Source organism: Homo sapiens, chromosome 15 (genome assembly GCF_000001405.40).
Source record: "Homo sapiens chromosome 15, GRCh38.p14 Primary Assembly".
NCBI lineage: Eukaryota > Metazoa > Chordata > Mammalia > Primates > Hominidae > Homo > Homo sapiens.
In genome coordinates, this window is record NC_000015.10 from 63,207,823 (window position 1) to 63,227,381 (window position 19,559).

Here is a 19,559-nt window from a genome sequence, read left to right on the forward strand (position 1 = left end):
CAAAGTGCTGGGATTACAGGCGTGAGCCACCGCGCCTGGCCCCTTTTCCTCAGTTCTTATGTACAATTTGTTGCCAAGTCCTTTCCATTCTTTCTTCTGCCACCCTAATTTAGGCCCTCAATACCTCTCTCCTGGACTTTGCCATGTCCTTCTAAGTGACCCGAGCACTTCCAGTCTCATTTGGGCAGCGTCCTTCCCGAATTCCATTCTGTACACTTCAAGCAAATTAGTTTTAGAGCATAGCTCTGATTATCATATTAATCCCTTATCCCTCCCTTAAAAGTCTTATTTTTTACTTTGTCCACTGGAATACATCATCGTTGGCCTATCATTCCAAACTCCCTACAGTGTGGCTTCAGCTATATCTCTCTCTGTTTTTTACAGGAATCCTAAACTCTAACCCAGGGACCCTCAACATCTGTGCTGGGTGGACTGTGGCCACATTTTCAGCTGGCCAGTGTAAGGGTTTTAGAGGCCCTTACATGAGAAGAAATACAATTTTTAAGTCTCTGAGTTGATGTGCTTCTTACATTTTTGGAATTAAAATGCCTCTTTACTTATAAAATGCTGGTAGTAATAGATGGTCATTATCTCACTGTCATTTGTGAAAGAAAAAACGATTGTAATAGAATTCTTGCTATTTTTTTTCTCTAAGGGAGGTAAGTTTTCTCCCTAAGCAAACTTTATGGAATGCACAATGCTTGGCTTTCACCTTCTTTTATTCTCACTACCACCACCTTTTATTCTCGCCTGCACATTTTACTAATTCACAAAATTAAAAAGTGTAAGATTAACTGCTCTACTGCTCTGCCCAGAATGGCAGGTTCCAAGAACACACCTCATTTCGGCCTGTTGACATCTGTCTTTCCTGATGTTCCTCATATGTCACTTTCTTTATGAGGCCATGTCAGAATTGTCTCTCTTCACCCCCAACCCAACCACCAAGATGCTCTTTCCTCAGTGGGACTTTGTACTCTGTAGTACTTTGATCTTTCATGTGGCACTTACCATGTTGTTCCTATAAGTAGAACCGTCTTCCTTTGCTTCCCCAACCCTCCACTCCCACGATAATTTTTTTTTTTTTTTTTGAGGGGGAGTCTCCCTCTGTTGCCCAGGCTGGATTGCAGTGATGGAATCTCAGCTCACTGCAACCTCCACCTCCTGGGTTCAAGCGATTCTGCCTCAGCCTCCCGAGTAGCTGGGATTATAGGTGCCCGCCACCACACACGGCTAATTTTTTGTATTTTTAGTAGAGACAGAGTTTCGCCATGTTGCCCAGGCTGGTTTTGAACTCCTGAGCTCACGCAATCTACCTGCCTCGGCCTCCCAAAGTGCTGGGACCCACGATGAATTCCTTTAGGACAGAAACATGTTTTGTCTTTGTGTTCTTTGCGTTGCCGAATACCATACTTTGTACCTATTTGGTGCTTGAAAAAATTGTCATTGAACTGAAATTTTAGGATGATATTATGAAATACTTTGATGAGGCTGGGTGCAGTGGCTCACACTTGTAATCCCAGCACTTTGGGAGGCCGAGGCAGGTGGATCACCTGAAGTCAGGAGTTTGAGACCAGACTGGCCAACATGGTGAAACCCTGTCTCTACTAAAAATACAAAAATTAGCCAAGCGTAGTGGCAGGCACCTGTAATCCCAGCTACTCGGAAGGCTGAGGCAGGAGAATCGCTTGAACCCGGGAGGCGGAGGTTGCAGTGAGCCGAGATCACACCACTGCACTCCAGCCTGGGAGACAAAAAGCGAAAAAATAAAATAAAATAAAATAAGAAAGAAATAATTTGATGAAATAAAACCGTCATTTTCTGGGGAAGGGAGCCTTTAAAGGTACCAGTTTAGAACTTTTTTTCTGATGATTCTGAAATTAGAATTATAGTTGCTTACTGAAACATGTTAGGAATGATTGCTCGTTTATCTTTTTTTTTTTAATTATACTTTAAGTTCTGGGATACATGTGCAGAATGTGCAGGTTTGTTACACAGGTATACATGTGCCATGGTGGTTTGCTGTACCCATCAACCCGTCATCTACATTAGGTATTTCTCCTAATGCTCTGCCTCCCCTTGCCCCCCACTCCCCAACAGGCCCCGGTGTGTGATGTTCCCCTCCCTGTGTCCATGTGTTCTCATTGTTGAACTCCCGCTTATGAGAGAGAACATGCAGTGTTTGGTTTTCTGTTCCTGTGTTAGTTTGCTGAGAATGACCATTTATCTTTTAAAGATAAAATAATCTTAGACTGCAACTCTAGACATCTCAGAGTAGGATTCAGGCCTGCTGTAGTTGTGGTGGTGAAGTGGAGAAGTTGCATGTTTCATTGGCTTTCTTTTGTGAAAATTGATTTTCATTTTATTTTGACAGAAGAGGCCCTAAAAATCTTCTTTTTCCCCAGGTAAGAGGCTACAGTTTCTTTGCCTCTGGCCCTCTCTAGAGCTGTCAGTGCCCTGTGAACATTGGCCTGATTTAGACAATGAGGCTTTCTCTGTGTCTTTGAGAAAGCCATCTTTGTGCTGTGCACAGCACTGTTACTTTCATTCTTGATTACAAAATGTTTCCTCAATGAATTTCTTTTTTCTTCCTGCTTTGTCTACCTCTACTCTCTCCCCTAAAATCTTTTGTTACTGAGACTGAATTGTGTGAAAGCAAACCTGGGTAAGAGATAGGTAGTGCCACAGCTAGGCTTCCTGCTGTCTGCACAAGGGAACCTTTGGTGCTGTCCAGGTACCTTCCACCTCCAGCTTCCCAACCTTCTGTGGATCATTTTTCAATTTTTTCACACCAAAGCACTGAGATAATTTGGATGTGGGGAACGTGGCAGGGTTTCTGACATGGAAGACCCTGAAAGGAGTAGGAAGTATGTGCCGTGGCCTCCCGCTGTCTTTTCTATTGAGAAAGGGGTGGGCAAGTAGTGGGTGGTAGCTGCAGCTGTGGGCAAGGCCCATTCTTGGCCTTTTTTTTACTAGGCTGTAGGCTGGTTTTTATTGAGTGGCTGGTATGCAAATAAAAGATGAGAAATGTAATTGTCTTCTGAAGAGAACAAAGAGAAATTTAATTGTCTCTCGTTAACATCACACCACAGGCATTTTCTATCAGCATACTCGAGATACTGTGTGGTGTGGTTCTAATTAACTTTGAAGAGCCAGAGCTCAACTCAACCTGAGGAAACCACTTTTGCCAAAAGATACCACTACACAAGGGACCCATCAGAGCTCTTGCAATATCAAAAGATAAACAGCAGGGAAAGAATTTGGGGAAGGATCCTATGGTTGGTTTGAGATGTGCGTCTTATCTGCAAAAACCCAAATAAAAGTGAAAGACCAGCTCTGCTTTTATTAGCTTAAGTGTTTTGTGTTAAAATCTCTTTTGGCCTAACTTTTCTTTATTGACAAGAGAACAAATAGTAGAATATCCTTTGTAGATCGGAAGTATAGAAATTACTGAGAATACTGGGAAATGCTTCACAGATGTTCCTGAAACTACAGCCAGATTGAGTGAATTCTTGTCCCTTTCTGAGTTGGGAGGTTGGGAGATTATTGTCTCACGTACTGTGATATTATAACTGTGTTCTACCCCAGACTATATGTGTTCACCATCTCTCTCATTGAGATTCTGGTTTAACCCTATTATATCCTTAACTTTGATGGCCATTAGAATAGGAAAGAATGTTTACGCAAGACTTTAGAGAGAGCCATAGTTTGATATTTCCTTTATAAAGCTTCCTGATACTGTGTTTAGTATTTACTTTCTTTAAATGTATCTTCTTAAAAGTACAGGTAGTGTGGTAGAGTTCAAAATTAACTTCCAGTTAAATCCAGTCATAGTTTTGGTGGATTTTTTTTGCCAAGCACCGCATTTTTCTTAGTATTGTCATATATTGACTGACACTAGTCAATTGCAACTAGTGACTGGTCATGATAGATATTGATAGACATCTCATAACTGTCATGGCTGAAGGGGAGTTGCCCCTAGTTGATCATTCAACAACATGAAGAGCCCTGTGTTTTTTTCTTTTTTTTAGAGACAGGATTTCACTCTGTCATTTAGGCTGGAGTGCAGTGGCGCAATCATGGCTCACTGCAGCCTCAACTTCCCAGGCTCAGGTGATTCTCCCACCTCAGCTTCCCAAGTAGCTGGGACTACAGGTGTGTCCCACCATGCCCAGCTCATTTTATTTAATTTTTTAAGAGAGGGAGTCTCTCTATGTTGCCTGGGCTGGTCTTGAACTCCTGGGCTCAAGCAGTCCTCCTGCCTCAGCATCCCAAAGCGCTGGGATTACAGTCATGAGCCACAGTGCCTGGCCTAAAAGCCCCATCTTCCTACACAGTGCGTTGTAGTCTTTCCTCCTGAATTGATGTAGAGGCATCCTTGATGTATAACAAGCAGAGCATGCTGAACTAGTTCGCAGCAAAAAACAAACAACGAAAACTTGATATCCAGGTTGTTCTTGGATAGGTCACCATGTTTATCATTTTTAAACATCCGGGGTTGTGAGATAAAGTTGTTAAGGGAGGGATTGCACCAGCACATTTTTCTGTTTCAGTTCATGTTCATCTGACTCATATTTATTCTAGTCTAACCTCATTTTGCGTGAAAATTTTTGTACTAGAAAATGTCACTTTCAATTAGGGGAGGGGAAATTCTGATTGGGGATCAGAAGAGTCAAGATGTATTAGTGATAATTTGGCATCACTTTTGATTCAAGGTAAAAACACAGAATCCCTAAAAATGTAGTAAAGTAAAAAGTGATTCATATAACTAGATAGGGGAAAGGAAATGTCACTGCTGAGCTTTACTGTGGGAAGAGGGGGAGGTGAAGGAAATTATTACAAAATTTTTGTACGTGATGAGGAGACAGCCTCTGGACTTCCCCAAATATTTCCGTATTCCCTAAAACAGCTCTAGTGAATTGCTTCATGATTGGTGTATGAATAGAAAGACACTAGAACTCTTAAACTTGATCTTGAAAGGCCCGTCTTTGTATATAATCATCCACAGATGTCCGTATGTGATTATATATTCCCATAGTGAGGCAATGATAAATGTAAATGAGAACCATGATATAATTTTGCCTTGCTTGCATGCACATTTTCAGAATAGAATTAAAAGCACATGCCACTGTCAGTAGTTAACTATGAGGTTTGTCTTAGTTTTTTATAAGGCTTTGGCAGAGGCCTAAAGCATGTTTTAGTGTCTAAGTCTTCCCTCCCTCCCTCTCTTCCTCCCTTCTTTCCTCCCTTCCTTCCCTCTTTGGAATCAAAAAGGAACTCTCTAGGTTCTGACTATTCTCTTTTCAGAACTAGGGACAATTTCAGCTTGTACACAGATTAATTTTCATTTTTTGGCTTCTCTGCTGGTACCTGAAATTGTAACTAAGTTATTACTAGATAATTCCTTTCTGACTTCTTCCTTCAAATAAAATCTGATAAGGACAAATGTCTTCTAGGTACTATTTCAGGTGGATATGTTTGGAGGGGGACGTGGGGCAAAGCAGAGGATAGGCTAGGGGTGCTGTTATAATGTAACTTAGGTCAGTTGATTGGTGCTTAGTAAATCATGGTTTTCTGTATAGTGCCAAATGCTCAGAAAATCTGTACTGGATAAAGAATTTCTTGTTCAAGTCTATTTAGTTACTGTACTTATGCCTAAAACTGGAATGTGCTCCTCTTTTAAATTCAGTAGGCTGTGCATTTATGACTATAGATGATACCACTTTCATTTTTAAAATAATGATAAAAGCTTAAGTTGTAAATTTAAGTTGTAATATGGACACTTAAAAAAAAACCCAAAACAAAACAATCTTCCTTCTGGTTATGGGGAATTCCTACATGAGTTCTTTCCAACTGCTTTTGTTTATATGAGTGTTGAAACTTAAAATGAGTAAATTCTGTCTTCCAAATAATTTTCTACATTTTCCATTTATTTCCATCGCTTATATCTGCTCTCAAGAACAAAACAAAAGTGGTTTCCAGGCCAGGCGCGGTGGCTCACGCCTGTAATCCCAGCACTTTGGGAGGCAGAGGCGGGCAGATCACGAGGTCAGGAGTTCGAGACCAGCCTGGGCAACATGGTGAAACCCCTACTCTAATAAAAATACAAAAATTAGCTGGGCGTTGTGGCATGTGTCTGTAATCCCAGCTACTCGGGAGGCTGAGGCAGGAGAATTGCTTGAACCTGGGAGGTGGAGGTTGTGGTGAGCCAAGATTGTGCCACTGCACTCCAGCCTGGGTGACAGAGCGAGACTCTGTCTCAGGGGAAAAAAAAAAGTGGTTTCGTTTGCTATACCAACGTGTAAAATGTAGAAATTTCCAGTGTTTAAAAATTCTGATTGGCTATTCCTTTCAAGGTATTACAGTGTGGGAGGTAAAGGATCTAATGTAGTTATCTAGGAGTTTAAGTTTGAAAAAGAATTCAACAGTGTTGAATTCCTTGGAAATGGGTACGCTCAGTTTCTTTCTTTTTTTTTTTTTTTTTTTTTTTGAGACGGAGTCTCACTCTGCTACCCATGCTGGAGTGCAGGGCCATGATCTCGGCTCACTGTAGCCTCCGCCTCCCAGGTTGCAGCGATTCTCCTGCCTCAGCCTCCCGGGTAGCTGGGATTACAGGCAGGTGCCACCGTGCCTGGCTAATTTTTGTATTTTCAGTAGAGACGGGGTTTCACCATGTTGGCCAGGCTGGTCTTGAACTCTTGTCCTCAGGTGATCTGCCCACCACGGCTTCTCACTTGATCTTAGCCAAAAGGCCGAGAAGCCATCCACCACGGCTTCTCAAAGTGCTAGGATTACAGGCGTGAGCCACCATGCCCAACCGTTTCTAACACTTCACAAAGCTTTTCCATCTGACAGTGGATTTGACCAGAGTGGGTTCTCTTGCTTCTAATTTCAGCAGCAGTTCATTTCTCTTTTTTAATGTAACCCTTGAGCTGTGGGGGTTGAAACCTGCTTCTGAGAATTCATGTTTCTTATCTTTTCCTCCTAAAACTGCATATAGTGGTGTTCTCCCCACCAAAAGAAACAATAAAAATAATTTCCCATGGAATACACATATAGTATTTAATTTTATTTTTTCTTGTTTACTAAGGTCTTTAAAATTGAGTAGGGCATCTACAGCTCTCTGTCCTCAGACCTTCCACCTCATTCTTATGGAGTCAGGAGTTTGCAATCTTCACAGGTTTCTGATCTCCTTTCCTATCCCAGACACAAGAGATACCTGCTGTTGCTATTTGTGACCAAATACCATATTTGTCAATAACTACCAACAGGGGCTCTGGGAATCTGGAAGCTGAAGACATCACTCTTGATAATTCAGTCCAAGGGCCCTTTGTCCCTCATACCCATCCTTTCTCTACTGGGATTTAGACTTTTGCCTTTCCTGCATCTGATCATAGTCTCATCGTGAAATGTGAGTACTTTCATATTAGATCTTATTCATTGATGCATTGATTTTATTTTAAAATTCATTTGTATACTTCCATACTTCTGATTAAAGTGTTCCAAAAATTGTCTTGATATTTTTTACTTAACTGCTGATTTTTCAAAGATATTAAATGAAAAACTGCCTTCTGGTCAATAACAAGTTTGTAAAGAGTAGGAAGTAATTTTTATACTTATATAAAAATTTAACCAGTTAACGCTGTATCTTTGTCATACTGTATTTCTTTTTAGTCTTCGAAGGAACTGAGAATCCCTATGATAGACTTCGCTACTTGTAAATGGACTATCAAAAGGAAAGTTCTTTCTAGTTTACTTTGAAAAATGCCTGAGGTCCTCATAATTTTCATTTTTATTTTAGTCAGTTTTAGAATTGTCAACTCAGTCTTATTTTCACAACCCTTTACTTTTTACTGAAAGTTGAAGTGGGAATTGGCAGAAGATTCAGAAGAAAGAGCAACTATATTATATTTGCCCTTAAAATTTTACCCTATAGACCAGGCATAGCTGCTCATGCCTATAATTCCAGCACTTTGGGAGGCTGAGGCAGGATGATTGTTTGACCCCAGGTGTTTGAGACCAGCCTGGGCAACATGGCGAGACCCCATCTCCATAAAAAATTTTAAAAATTAGCCAGGTGTGGTGACATGCACCTGTGGTCCCAGCTACTCTGGCGGCTGAGGTGGGAGGATCACTTGAACCCAGGAGGTTGAGGCTGCAGTGAGCCTTGTTTGTGTCACTGCACTCCAGTCTGGGCAGCAGAATGAGACCGTCTCAAAAAAAAGAAAAATTAAAGAAAATTACCCTATTCAAGAGTCCATAATTAGCATCTTAGCACCATATGATGTGTTTTTCTTCTCTATAATTTTTCATATATATTATCTACTGTGATTTCTCCTCTCTTTTAACATCCATATAAATGTTTCAATCCAACTTTTACTTTAATTAATTAATTAATTAATTAATTAATTATTATTTTTTTTTTTGGAGACAGAGTCTTGCTCTGTCTCCCCCACTGGAGTGCAGCGGCACAATCTTGGCTCACTGCAACCTCCGCCTCCTGGTTTCATGCAATTCTCCTGCCTCAACCTCCCAAGTATCTGGGACTACAGGCGCACACCATAACACCCGGCTAATTTTTTGTATTTTAGTAGAACTGGGGTTTCACCATGTTGTCCAGGTTGGTCTTGAACTCGTGAGCTCGAGCAGTCCACCTGCCTTGGCCTGCCAAAGTGCTGGGATTACAGGCGTGAGCCACTGTGCCTGGCCTCAATCCAACTTTTAAATGTTCAGTACCACTGATTTAAAAGTTCTGACTTGTGGCTTGTCTCGGTGGCTCACGCCTGTAATCCCAGCACTTTGGGAGGCCAAGGCGGGCAGATCACAAGGCAGGAGTTCGAGACCAGCCTGGCCAATATGATGAAACCCTGTCTCTACTAAAAATACAAAAATTAGTCGGGCATGGTGGTGTGCACCTGTAGTCCCAGCTCTTTGGGAGGCTGAGACAGGAGAATCGCTTGAACCTGGGAGGCAGAGGTTGCAGTGAGCTGAGATCATGCCGCTGCACTCCAGCCTGGGTGACAGAGTGAGACTCTGTCTCAAAAAAAAAAAAAAAAAAGTTTTGACTTGTAAAGTATTCCTCCTTTTTTAGTCATAAAGTGGTATCAGTGCAGTAGTCTCTGTTGCTAACACACTGGGGGACTTTTGCTAGAGAGAAGTTGGCCTCTGACTAGATGCACATGGGTTGATTACATCTATGTTTCTCTTAGTTCCACTGAATCTAATTTTCTTTCATTTCATTTCCTTATATCCTCTGAGCTCATGGTAGTTTCCTTCATCTTTAGAAAGAATAATCAGATATCTCATTAGATAAATCATATATGATTAATGTATGATTAGTCAGATAAAAGGAATTCAAATGTACTTCGAAGAGACTAATGAAAAGATGGTACATACGAGGGCCTAATGGTTTGAGGAATAAGCGTAATGGAGTTAGGATTGTTCTATATAATTACTTTCTTTTTGTGTAAAAGATGCAAAAATAAACGTCCTTTACATTTAAAAATATTGAATGGAATATGGGGTTTTTCCATTGGAACTTTCTAATCATTTCTAGTATTTATTCCAGCAGCAATTTAGACATTTAAGGAAAATGTTTTTCACCATGTGCCATGTTTTTGGGTCAGTGAGAAAGCCTTAACCAAGACGATTGTTGGGTGGTACTGTGTATAATAACTCCAGATCCTTGACCAAGTTTGGAGAGTCACTTATGGCCATTTGAAACCAAATGAAGGATCAAAGGACTAATTATTTTGAATACCTCTGAGTGTTTTCCCCAAGCTTGAGAAGAGTTTCATTCAGCTATAAAATGCTCATTGTGCAAATGAGTGGTTTCCATGCTGTATAATTAAAGCATTGCCTTTAATAATATTTTATTACCTTTAGCTTGTCTTTTTAATTTGAGGAAAATCTAAACAATTTAAAGTAAAACGTGATAAAGACAGTTTTTCGGGAGAGAGAAGGGTAGATCGCTATGTTTATTCCACTTAGTATCTATATCAAATATTTGTATCAAAAGCAGACTCTCACTTTAAAATTATTCTTCTAGTGGCAAGATTCTTTTCCCTAGATTGAGAGTACAGAGCTCACATAGTAATAACTGCTGTTAAAATAGACACTTAGAACTATAGAGCTAAAGCTTAGGTTCCAAACTAAGCGAAGCTGCCATTTTCTGAAATAATGTCTTTCTTATTTAAAAGGACCAGTTCCTTTTTGCCTTTTTTCCCCTTCCTCACTTCCTTCCTATTGCTCCATGTATGTTGTACATGTGGTTATCTGTTCTTTTTTTTTTATGCTTCTACCCTTATGTTGGCAAAAGAAATGCACCAATGGGAGGTGAAGGTTTAAAATATAACAGTTGAGTTCATTATCCCAGTTTTATCACTTTCTACAAGTATAAGCAAGTTACTTATCTGGACCTCTGTTTCCTCTTACGTTAAATGGGGATTAAAGCCCCCTTGCAGACTTGTTATGAGAATAGTGATAAGGAATATTCAGTACCTATCACAGTGCCTGGCCTTAAGTGGGTCCTTAAGAAGTGCTAGCTATTTTTATTAATGATAGCCTATCCCATTATAGCTGTCAGCATCATTATCTGCTGAGCAGGGATCTCAGGAGAGTATCTTGAAGAATATCGTTGGACTCCACTATACGGGGTTATCTAATCTGAAGCTCATTTTGTTTGGCTGCATTTTGTTCTAAGAGTTTGTGCTTTAGACATTCTGGATTGTTTTAAGCTGGAGTCATTTATTTTGCAGGCAATTATTTCCTCATTTAAAGGGCATAGTCCCACTTCATTCATTTGAAATGATGTCAGTTACCACACTACTGAACTCTTCTGGCCTTTTGTGATGGGCGTTTCTCTCTTTTGTTTCTTGGCCTTAGGCTGATAAATCAAAGTATCTCAGGTGATACAGGAATTCCCGGCAATGTCATATTCAAAATATTGGGCATGTTGCTCAAGCAGTATTTCCATTATTGGAATTCTCCTTTTTTCCTTTAAATCTTAGCCTCCCTGCTTGTTAATATGTTACTTTACTCACAAAATAGGAAGAAAAAAAAACACTTTAGCCTCTTAAGTTTAACAAATATTTTAGGGGCAGCTATATACAAGACCCTGAAGTTGTCATTTTTCTCTCTCTCACTAAAAAGTGAAGCTAAAATGATCTTTTCTTCCAGCAGTGGATTTTTTTTTTTTTTTTTTTTTTTTTTTTTAGAAGGAAAGAGATCACCAGGTGCCGGGAGACTGAGGTGGGTAGATCACGAGGTCAGAAGGTCGAGGCCATCCTGGCCAACACGGTGAAACCCCGTCTCCACTAAAATACAAAAATTTAGCCGGGGTGGTGGCACGCGCCTGTAGTCCCAGTTACTCAGGAGGCTGAGGCAGGGGAATTGCTTGAACTTGGGAGGCAGAGATTGTAGTGAGCTGAGATCACGCCACTGCACTCCAGCCTGGCAAAGGAGCGAGACTCCCATCAAAAAAAAAAAAAAAGAAAGAAAGAGAGAAAGAGATCGAGAGAGAGAATGTGACCTTTACTTGACTTCCAGGATGTTCTTTAAGCCAATGTTTTCAATATGGGTTGCAACCCATTACTGGGTCATGAAGTCAATTTACTGTGTCCAGACCAACTTTTTTTTTTTTTTTTAAATGGAGGGAAAGAGAACAGACAAGAACATGACAACAGATAAGAGAACACAGAGTCCACTGCACATGTAAGAGTAACAAGGAGTAAGGGTCAAGTGCTATTTCATAAAACTTTTGTTTCAGTTATGTAAGTATGTATATATGTGGAATGTGTTGTTATATAAAAATTATTTCTTACCAGTGGGTTAAAAAAGGCAGAAAGCCACTGCTGTGGGGCAGTTTGCCACTGAAGACTTGTCTCATTTTTTAGAAAAACCAATTCTATGGAGGCTGTATTTGATCAGACAGATCCCTTTTTTTCCATGAAAGAAAACTGGGTCTTTTACTATTGAGCCTATATTGATGGAAGGCTTCCACTGCTGGCTTAACTGGCTGTGTTTTTGAGAGGGTCTCTTGGGTAATGAGTCTATTATCTCTCTTCTTTTTTGGTTTTCTGCTTTCTACTCTTTCTACATGGACTCTGGAAGCCATTCTAGTTGTTGGAACAATGGTAGAAGTTCCCACACAACGTAGAGACATCCACAACATTTGGTTTTGTGATTGTTGTCCAAGTGTTAAGAAAACTATGGTTTCTGAAGAAAGTAAGACTTTCTAACCAATATGAAATATCCAATTATTTCCCCCCACTTCAGTGTTAGCCCTTATATCAGGCCTTTTAATATAATTACAAAATTGCTATTTATTTCAGTGTGTTGAATTTTTAAAAATCACCCGAACCCCTAAACCTGTCTAAGTTAACGTGGTTAGAATTGAGACAATGGTAGCAGAACCTTTCGTTCTATTTCATTTCTCTAGAAGAGACTGCATTGTTGCCTTTTCTTCATTCTAAAATGAAGACATCTACTTTATGTATGCTTAGTACTGTTTTGTCATTTGTACTTAATAATTTAAGAAAATTATTCTAGAATGTTCTTTAGGCCGGTGTTTTTAATATGGATTGCAACCCTTTATTGGGTCATGAAGTCAATTTACTGTGTACAGACCAACTTTTTTTTTTTAAATGGAGGGAAAGACAGTAGGACAAGAACATGAGAATAGAAGAGAGTACAGTGTTCACTGCACATATAAGAGTAAGGAGGAGTAAGAGTCAAGTGGTATTTTTTGAAACTTTCAGTGGTTTCATATTTTAGTGTTTTTTGTGTTTCACTTTTTTGTTTTATCACTTAAAGTTACCCAAATATGTAACTTAATTTGCCAGCCATTAAGATTCATTCCAGTAGGATCAATCTAGACATATGTAAACCTGATTGTATTCCAAAGTAATTGATCAGTGTCAAGAAATGTTTATTGAGTGCCTGTTACTTGCTTGGCAAACAGGAGGGAGGTTCCAAATGAAGTACTGTAAGTAAAAGATGAGGCTCCTGCTTTTTTTTAAAAAGGGTTTATCTTTCATTTATTCCTTTAAACATTTATCAGGCACTTATTTAATCAGCCGTATACAGTGCTAGATCCTCTGCTCAAGTGTAATTGGGAAGGTAAAACTTAAATGAAACAACAAAAATAATTAATTGCCACATGCATAATGATATGCATTCTAAATTCTGTAGGAGTTTAGGGTAGAGAGTGAGCAGAGTTGGCTGGAATAACTGGAGGACAGAGGAGGTAGAGTTTCTGAATCTTGAGGCACTTTCAGGATTCAGATGGAAAGGATGGAGAATGTTCCAGACAATGGGGAGATCTTGAAAAATGCTTAGAGGCAGGGAATACCACAGAGCATGAAAGAGGCATTTCTGAGGTTTTATGCTGAGGAATTGTGAAAAATAATGTTGGATATGTTGGATGGGGCCATATATTTTAAGATGGGTAATTGTAGAGTTACATAAACTAAAAAGGTATCCAGTATCCTGTGGTGCATACAGTCTACTTTGGGAGAAGGGAGGGATTATAAATAACTAATGAAGCTATACTGTATGTATTATGATGGAAGCTAGTACTGTGCTAGAAGTATTATAAGCAAAAAGCTTGAATGGCCATGTCAGTGGTTACCTTTGAGCTATATTAGTACTGCTCTGGCTTAGGGCTTGGCAACATCGCTGACTCAGTGACAAACTTCCTTTTTGGAAGTCCTGGCTCCTCACTTGCCAGCATATGACACTCCCAGTTCACCAGGTCATCCTGTCCCGAACTGCCCAGTTAATTGTGAAGCTATAAGACAGTCCTGGCCAGGGCTCATCTCCACCGCTAGCTGGGGATCCCACCACATAGCTAGACAGGTTCCTGAATGGACTTCTCCTTCAGGACCAGAGCATGGTTGGGGGTCTGTACATGTGCTTGCCTTCCACCCTGGGCTCACGAATTAATAGTGGAAATGTCTTCAAAGCAATTATTAAAAGTAATTATTGCTATGATTTCACTTTTGATTCTCCATTTATTTCACTTCTGTCTGCTTATTTATTTACCTACTTGATGTTTGTGGAGGCATGTATCAGTCAGCTTTTGCAGTTATACAACCCCAAAATCTCAGTTGCTTGTAACAGTCACATATTTGATTATTGCAGCTGAGGATTAACTGTAGCCCTTGGTCAGTTTTCTCTAATATTCATTCTTCCCTGTTTCTCCACCCAGGCTTCTGGGTCAGCTAGCTTCAGACTGGGTTCAGCTGATTAGAGAAACTGGCAGGAAATAATGCAAGAGGAGAAAGGGAGAAACCAAGATATTTCTCTTTTTCCCTTCTTGCCTTGGGTGGCTTCTCTAGCAGAGACTGTTTCTCTCTGGCTTTAGTTCTCACTGGACAGGACCACCATGGTTCTTGTCCAGTGACTCTATGTCTTCAGTTCCTATAACACCATCTCCTCCTTTTGTCTGTCCAGCTAAGGGGTGGTAGTGGCTCCCTGCTGTTGTCATCTCTTCCTTTTGTCTCTCCGGCTTAGGGGTGGTAGTGGCTCCCTGCTGTTGTTAAACCTTTTACCATCCCCAATATGGTTTGCAGCAATTTAATGCCTTATATAGCCAGTTCCCTCTATTAAATTCCTTCTGTTGTAAATACAGTCATGCACCACATAACAACATTATAGTGAATGATGGATCATATATAGGATGGTTGTCCCATAAGTTGATGATGATGATGATAATGATGATTTTTATTATTATTTGAGACGGAGTCTCACTCTGTTGCTCAGGCTGGAGTGCAGTGGCACAATCTTGGCTCACTGCAACCTCCGCTTCCTGGGCGCAAGCAATTCTCCTGCCTCAGCCTCCCGAGTAACTGGGACTACAGGCATATGCCACGACACCCGACTAATTTTTTTTGTATTTTTAGTAGAGATGGGGTTTCACCATGTTGGTCAGGCTGGTCTCGAACTCCTGACCTCAAGTGATCCTCCCGCTTTGGCCTCCCAAAGTGCTGGGATTACAGGTGTGAGCCACCATGCCCGGCCCACATAAGATTATAATGGAGCTAAAACATTTCTGTTGCCTAGTGACATCATAACTATTGTAATGTTGTACTACAGTTACCTTATTTTTTAAATATAATTTTGGTGTAGCTTAGGTGTATAGTGTTTATAGAGTCTACAGTAGTGTACAGTAATGTCCTAGGCCTTCACATTCACTCATCACTCTCTCATTGATTCCTTCAGAGCAACTTCCAGTCCTGTAAGCGCCTTTCATGGTAAGTACCCTATATAGGTATACCATTTTTATTTTACTTATTTTTTGTTATTTTTTGAGACGGAATCTTGCTCTGTCACCCAGGCTGGTATGCAGTGGCATGATTTTGGCTCACTGCAACCTCCACCTCCCGGGTTCAAGCGATTCTCCTGCCTCAGCCTCCCAAGTAGCTGGTACTACAGGCACCTGCCACCATGCCCGGCTAATTTTTGTATTTTTAGTAGAGACGGGGTTTCACTGTATTGGCCAGGCTGGTCTCGAACTCCTGACCTCAGGTGATCCACTTGCCTCGGCCCCAAAGTGCTGGGATTACAGGCATGAGCCACTGGGCCCAGCCACCATTTTTTATCTTTTATACCATGTTTTTACTGTACTTTTTCTATGTTTAGATATGTTTAAACACACAAATACTTACCATTGTGTTACAGTTGCATACAGTATTTGGTACAGTAGCATACTATATAAGTTTGTAGCCTAGGAGCAATAAACAGGCTATACTACGTAGACTAGGTGTGTAGTACATGCTATGATGTTTGCACAAAGACGAAACCACCTAAAAATGCATTTTCCAGAACGTCTGGTTGTTAAGTGACACATGACTATACTTGAAGACACACGACTGTACTTGTACTGGTTGTTAAGTGACACGTGACTGTACTTGGTTGTTAAGTGACACATGACTGTATTTGATTTCTTTTTCCTGACTAGACCCTGACTGATACACTGTTCCAAAAAAGGAGTTTTTCTTTTGTCTTTATATTGTTTTCTTCTATAGTGCGGCCTCACATAGAGGAATAAAAACAACCCATTTTATTATCCCACAAAATGTCTGCTAATGAAGCAGTGTGATGTAGTGGACAGAGTATTGGATTTGGAATCACTGTCACTTATAGCACTGTGGTGTTGGGTAAGTCACTCATTCTCTCCGTGTGGAGATACTTATGATTCCTGTTATACCTACATCTTCAGGGTTGTCTGTGATGATCAAAACAAGGAAATGCTTATAAACTATCAAGCTTTATTCAAGTGATGCACGGAGCCTCAATGATGTTGTAGAACAGTCTGCCAGCTGGCCATATTTTATTTTATTTATTTTTATCATTTGTAGTTGTTTCCAACATAGTTTCTTTCTCATTATAAACTCAGAATTGGAAGATGCAACTATAATTAGATAGAGAAAAGTTATAGAAAATATTCATCCCATGTTGGAAGATATTTATGTATATTTAAAAGGTATTCTTCAAATGGCCAAGTACATTTGACCACTGATAATACCCCAGGTATCCAAACTTTTTTAGTTCTTCCTAGTCTTACTGTAGAACCAAGATCATGTTTCCTGGAGCAGCATGAGTGTCACAGTCCCTGTCACATAGGCTAACATGGGATGGATTTCAATCATATGAGTGGAAAATTACCTAATTGCCCCATCTCCTTAACATCTCTTATTTTGAACCTTGCCTTGGGAGATAGCTTCATTCTGATTCAAAACAGACCTACATAGATGGGGTCTTCTCTAGTTTGCCAGGATGATCAGATCTATTTCAGATTAATCTAGAAATAAGGATTTCATAATAAAATGGCTGTGCTAAGCATACTCAGAGGCTCAAAGAACTAATTCCTAATATTCAGGTCCACCAAGAATGGACCAATTTTCCTTTTGTGATCGCGACATAATCTGGAGTTAGGTTCAACTTTAAGGGATGTATTAGAAACAGATTCCTCCCAAGTCCTCCATAATCTGAGCTAGTACCTCCTCCAGGGTGGACTCTAAAGGGTGATTCTCCTGTTAGTGTCACTTGAGACACAGAATCCTCATCTTTAGCCCAACGAGGGGAGATCAGATATCAGAGATGGGCAGACATGGGTTGAAACCCCAGCTCTGCCACTTTCTTGTTGTTTGTACAAGTTACTTAACCTCTTAGAGCAGCAGGTTCTTTATCAGTGAAATGAGGGTTAGGGATGGATATTTCCTATAGTTCTACCTGGCACATAGTAGGTACACAATAAATATAATATCGTCTTTAACGTAATATCATCATGCTTATCAGACAAAGGACTTTGGAGTCAGGATTCAAAACTCTGCAGCTGCACTACCAAAGTTTGCTGAGCCTCTTAGCCTTTGTTAATGTAACTTAACCGTGTTGGAGTTTTTAGTATTACCATTCCTTATAAATATGTTTGACAATTTTTATTTTTAGCTAGTCATCAAAGCTCTTACAAGTCAGAATTTCAGACTTGACCAGGACTATAGTTTATTTACTGGAGTGCTAGGAGAGAATGCAAAAGTGATGGTATATTGAGTACTTTTAATTTTTATTGCTGTCATATATTTTAAGCCGAATTTGTTTCTAAACAACATGAAAAGTTACTATTAACATTTTTGCCATTTGTGAGAGACAAATGCCGCTTGCTTACTCTCAGCCTTTTGGGTGATAAATATATACTTGCTTCTGGAAATGACAGCAGACACTTTCATATCTTAGGAAATCATGGTTTTGTTAGTTCATCATCTGTTGTTAGTTCCTGCTCCTGAAGAGCAAACCTTAGAATATTGTCTTTAGCAAAGACACCAGTATGGAGTAGGATTTTCACATTATGAAATTTTAATGACTATTAGCCTAGGAGCTCCTTGAGACTCATAACTTTTCATTGTTGTATTCCTCAGTGCCTAGCGTAGTGTCAGGCTCATGGAGGTGCCCACTAATTCTTTTTCTTTTTTCTTGTTTAGCTCATTGGCAAGAAGAATTTAATATTTTTTTCCTTCTCTGTTTTATTTTTTTCTTTCTGAAAGAGGGTCTCGCTCTGTCACCCAGGATGGAGTGCAGTGGCGTGATCATAGCTCACTGTAGCCTCGACCTCCTGGGCTCAAGCAATCATCCCACCTCGGCCCCATCAGTAGCTGCGACTACAGGTGCTTGCCACCATGCCTGGCTCATTTTTGTATTTTCTGTAGAGACGGGATTTTGCCATGTTCCCAGGCTGGTCTTGAACTCCTGGGCTCAAGTGATCCTCTTGCCTATGCCTCCCAAAGTGCTGGGATTACAGGTGTGAGCCACTGTGCCCAGCCACTAATTCTTTGTCAAATTAAATCTTGAAATTTGCCCTTGCCTTAGTCAATCTGATTTTCGCTAAATTTGCCTTCATTTGACTAAGGTAAACCTTATTGTATCTATCATGTGTGGTTGAGCACTCTTTAGCCATATCTGTTACATAGCTAAAATGAAGCAGCCTCCGTCAGTTTTCTGTTCTACAATTTGATAAATGGATTATACTCACACGTAGGATAAGGAATTGGTTGTAAATCAGATAAGGGGCCAAATCTCCCACTTTTCTGACTTCAGTATCATAATCTCCAAATATGGACTTCAGCCTTCAACTTTGAGTCCTGCAAAGGTATATTACCTATGCAAAATAGATTAAATATCAGTTTTTCAGAATGCACACATTTTTTTCTGCTTTCTTCTCTCACCCTCAGAAATTCATGCCAAGATCTGCCGTCTATGGTTGTGATCTGTTCCTAAAATGGCCAGCGTCATTTTTCTTCACACTTCTCATTCTGCTGATAGACAATTTGAGGTTAAAAATACATAGTCATTGTGTTTTCACATTTCTTAACTTCTTTGTGTTACAGGAAAGGGGTTCTGATCCAGACCCCAAGAGAGGGTTCTTGGATCTCATGTAAGAAAGAATTCAGGGCGGGTCTGCAGTGCAAAGTGAAAGCAAGTTTATTAAGAAAGTAAATGAGTAAAAGAATGGCTACTCCATAGACAGAGCTGCCCCAAGGGCAGCTGGTTGCCCATTTTTATGGTTTTTTTTTAAATGATATTGCTAAACAAGGGGTGGATTATTCATGCCTCCCCTTTTTAGGCCATATAGGGTAACTTCTTGACATTGCCATGACATTTGTAAACTGTCATGGTGCTGGTGGGAGTGTAGCAGTGACAACGACCAGAGGTCACTCTTGTGGCCATTTTGGTTTTGGTGGCTTTGGGCTGGTTCCTTTAGGGCAAACTGTTTTATCAGCAAGGTCTTTATGAGCTTTATTTTGTGCTGACGTCCTGTCTCATCCTGTGACTTAGAATGCCTTAGCTATCTGGGAATGCAGCCCAGTGGGTTTCAGCCTTATTTTACCCAGCTCCTGTTTAAGATGGAGTTGCTCTGGTTCACACGCCTCTGACATTTGCATCCACTGTTGTATGTATTTCCTGACCTAATGACAATGAGGACCAAACTGAGAACACCAAAACTGTGACCACTAGATACAGAAATCCTGCCCCAGGCTTGCCTGAGGACATCTTTGAAATAACAC

At 40.2% G+C, this 19,559-nt stretch overlaps 1 protein-coding gene across 3 annotated transcripts in view, besides 1 other annotated feature; it reads left to right on the forward strand.

The window, feature by feature from the left end:
* Positions 1-19,559, forward strand: part of RAB8B (RAB8B, member RAS oncogene family) — a 78,171-nt gene that overhangs the window by 18,217 nt on the left and 40,395 nt on the right. Inside the window, exon 2 of one of the 3 annotated variants that reach the window (XM_017022312.1) lies at positions 16,026-16,157. The exons of the other annotated variants lie outside the window; for them this stretch is intronic. The gene's annotated coding sequence lies outside the window, so the exon portion shown is untranslated. The remainder of the gene's footprint in view (positions 1-16,025; positions 16,158-19,559) is intronic. 3 annotated transcript variants of the gene reach the window in all.
* Positions 2,805-3,370: an enhancer, noted in NCBI's record as "OCT4-NANOG hESC enhancer chr15:63502826-63503391 (GRCh37/hg19 assembly coordinates)". NCBI's record gives its function as "activates a minimal SCP1, AML or CMV promoter by ChIP-STARR-seq in naive H9 embryonic stem cells {active_cell/tissue: H9 hESC(naive)}" and the evidence as "EXISTENCE:reporter gene assay evidence [ECO:0000049][PMID:30033119]".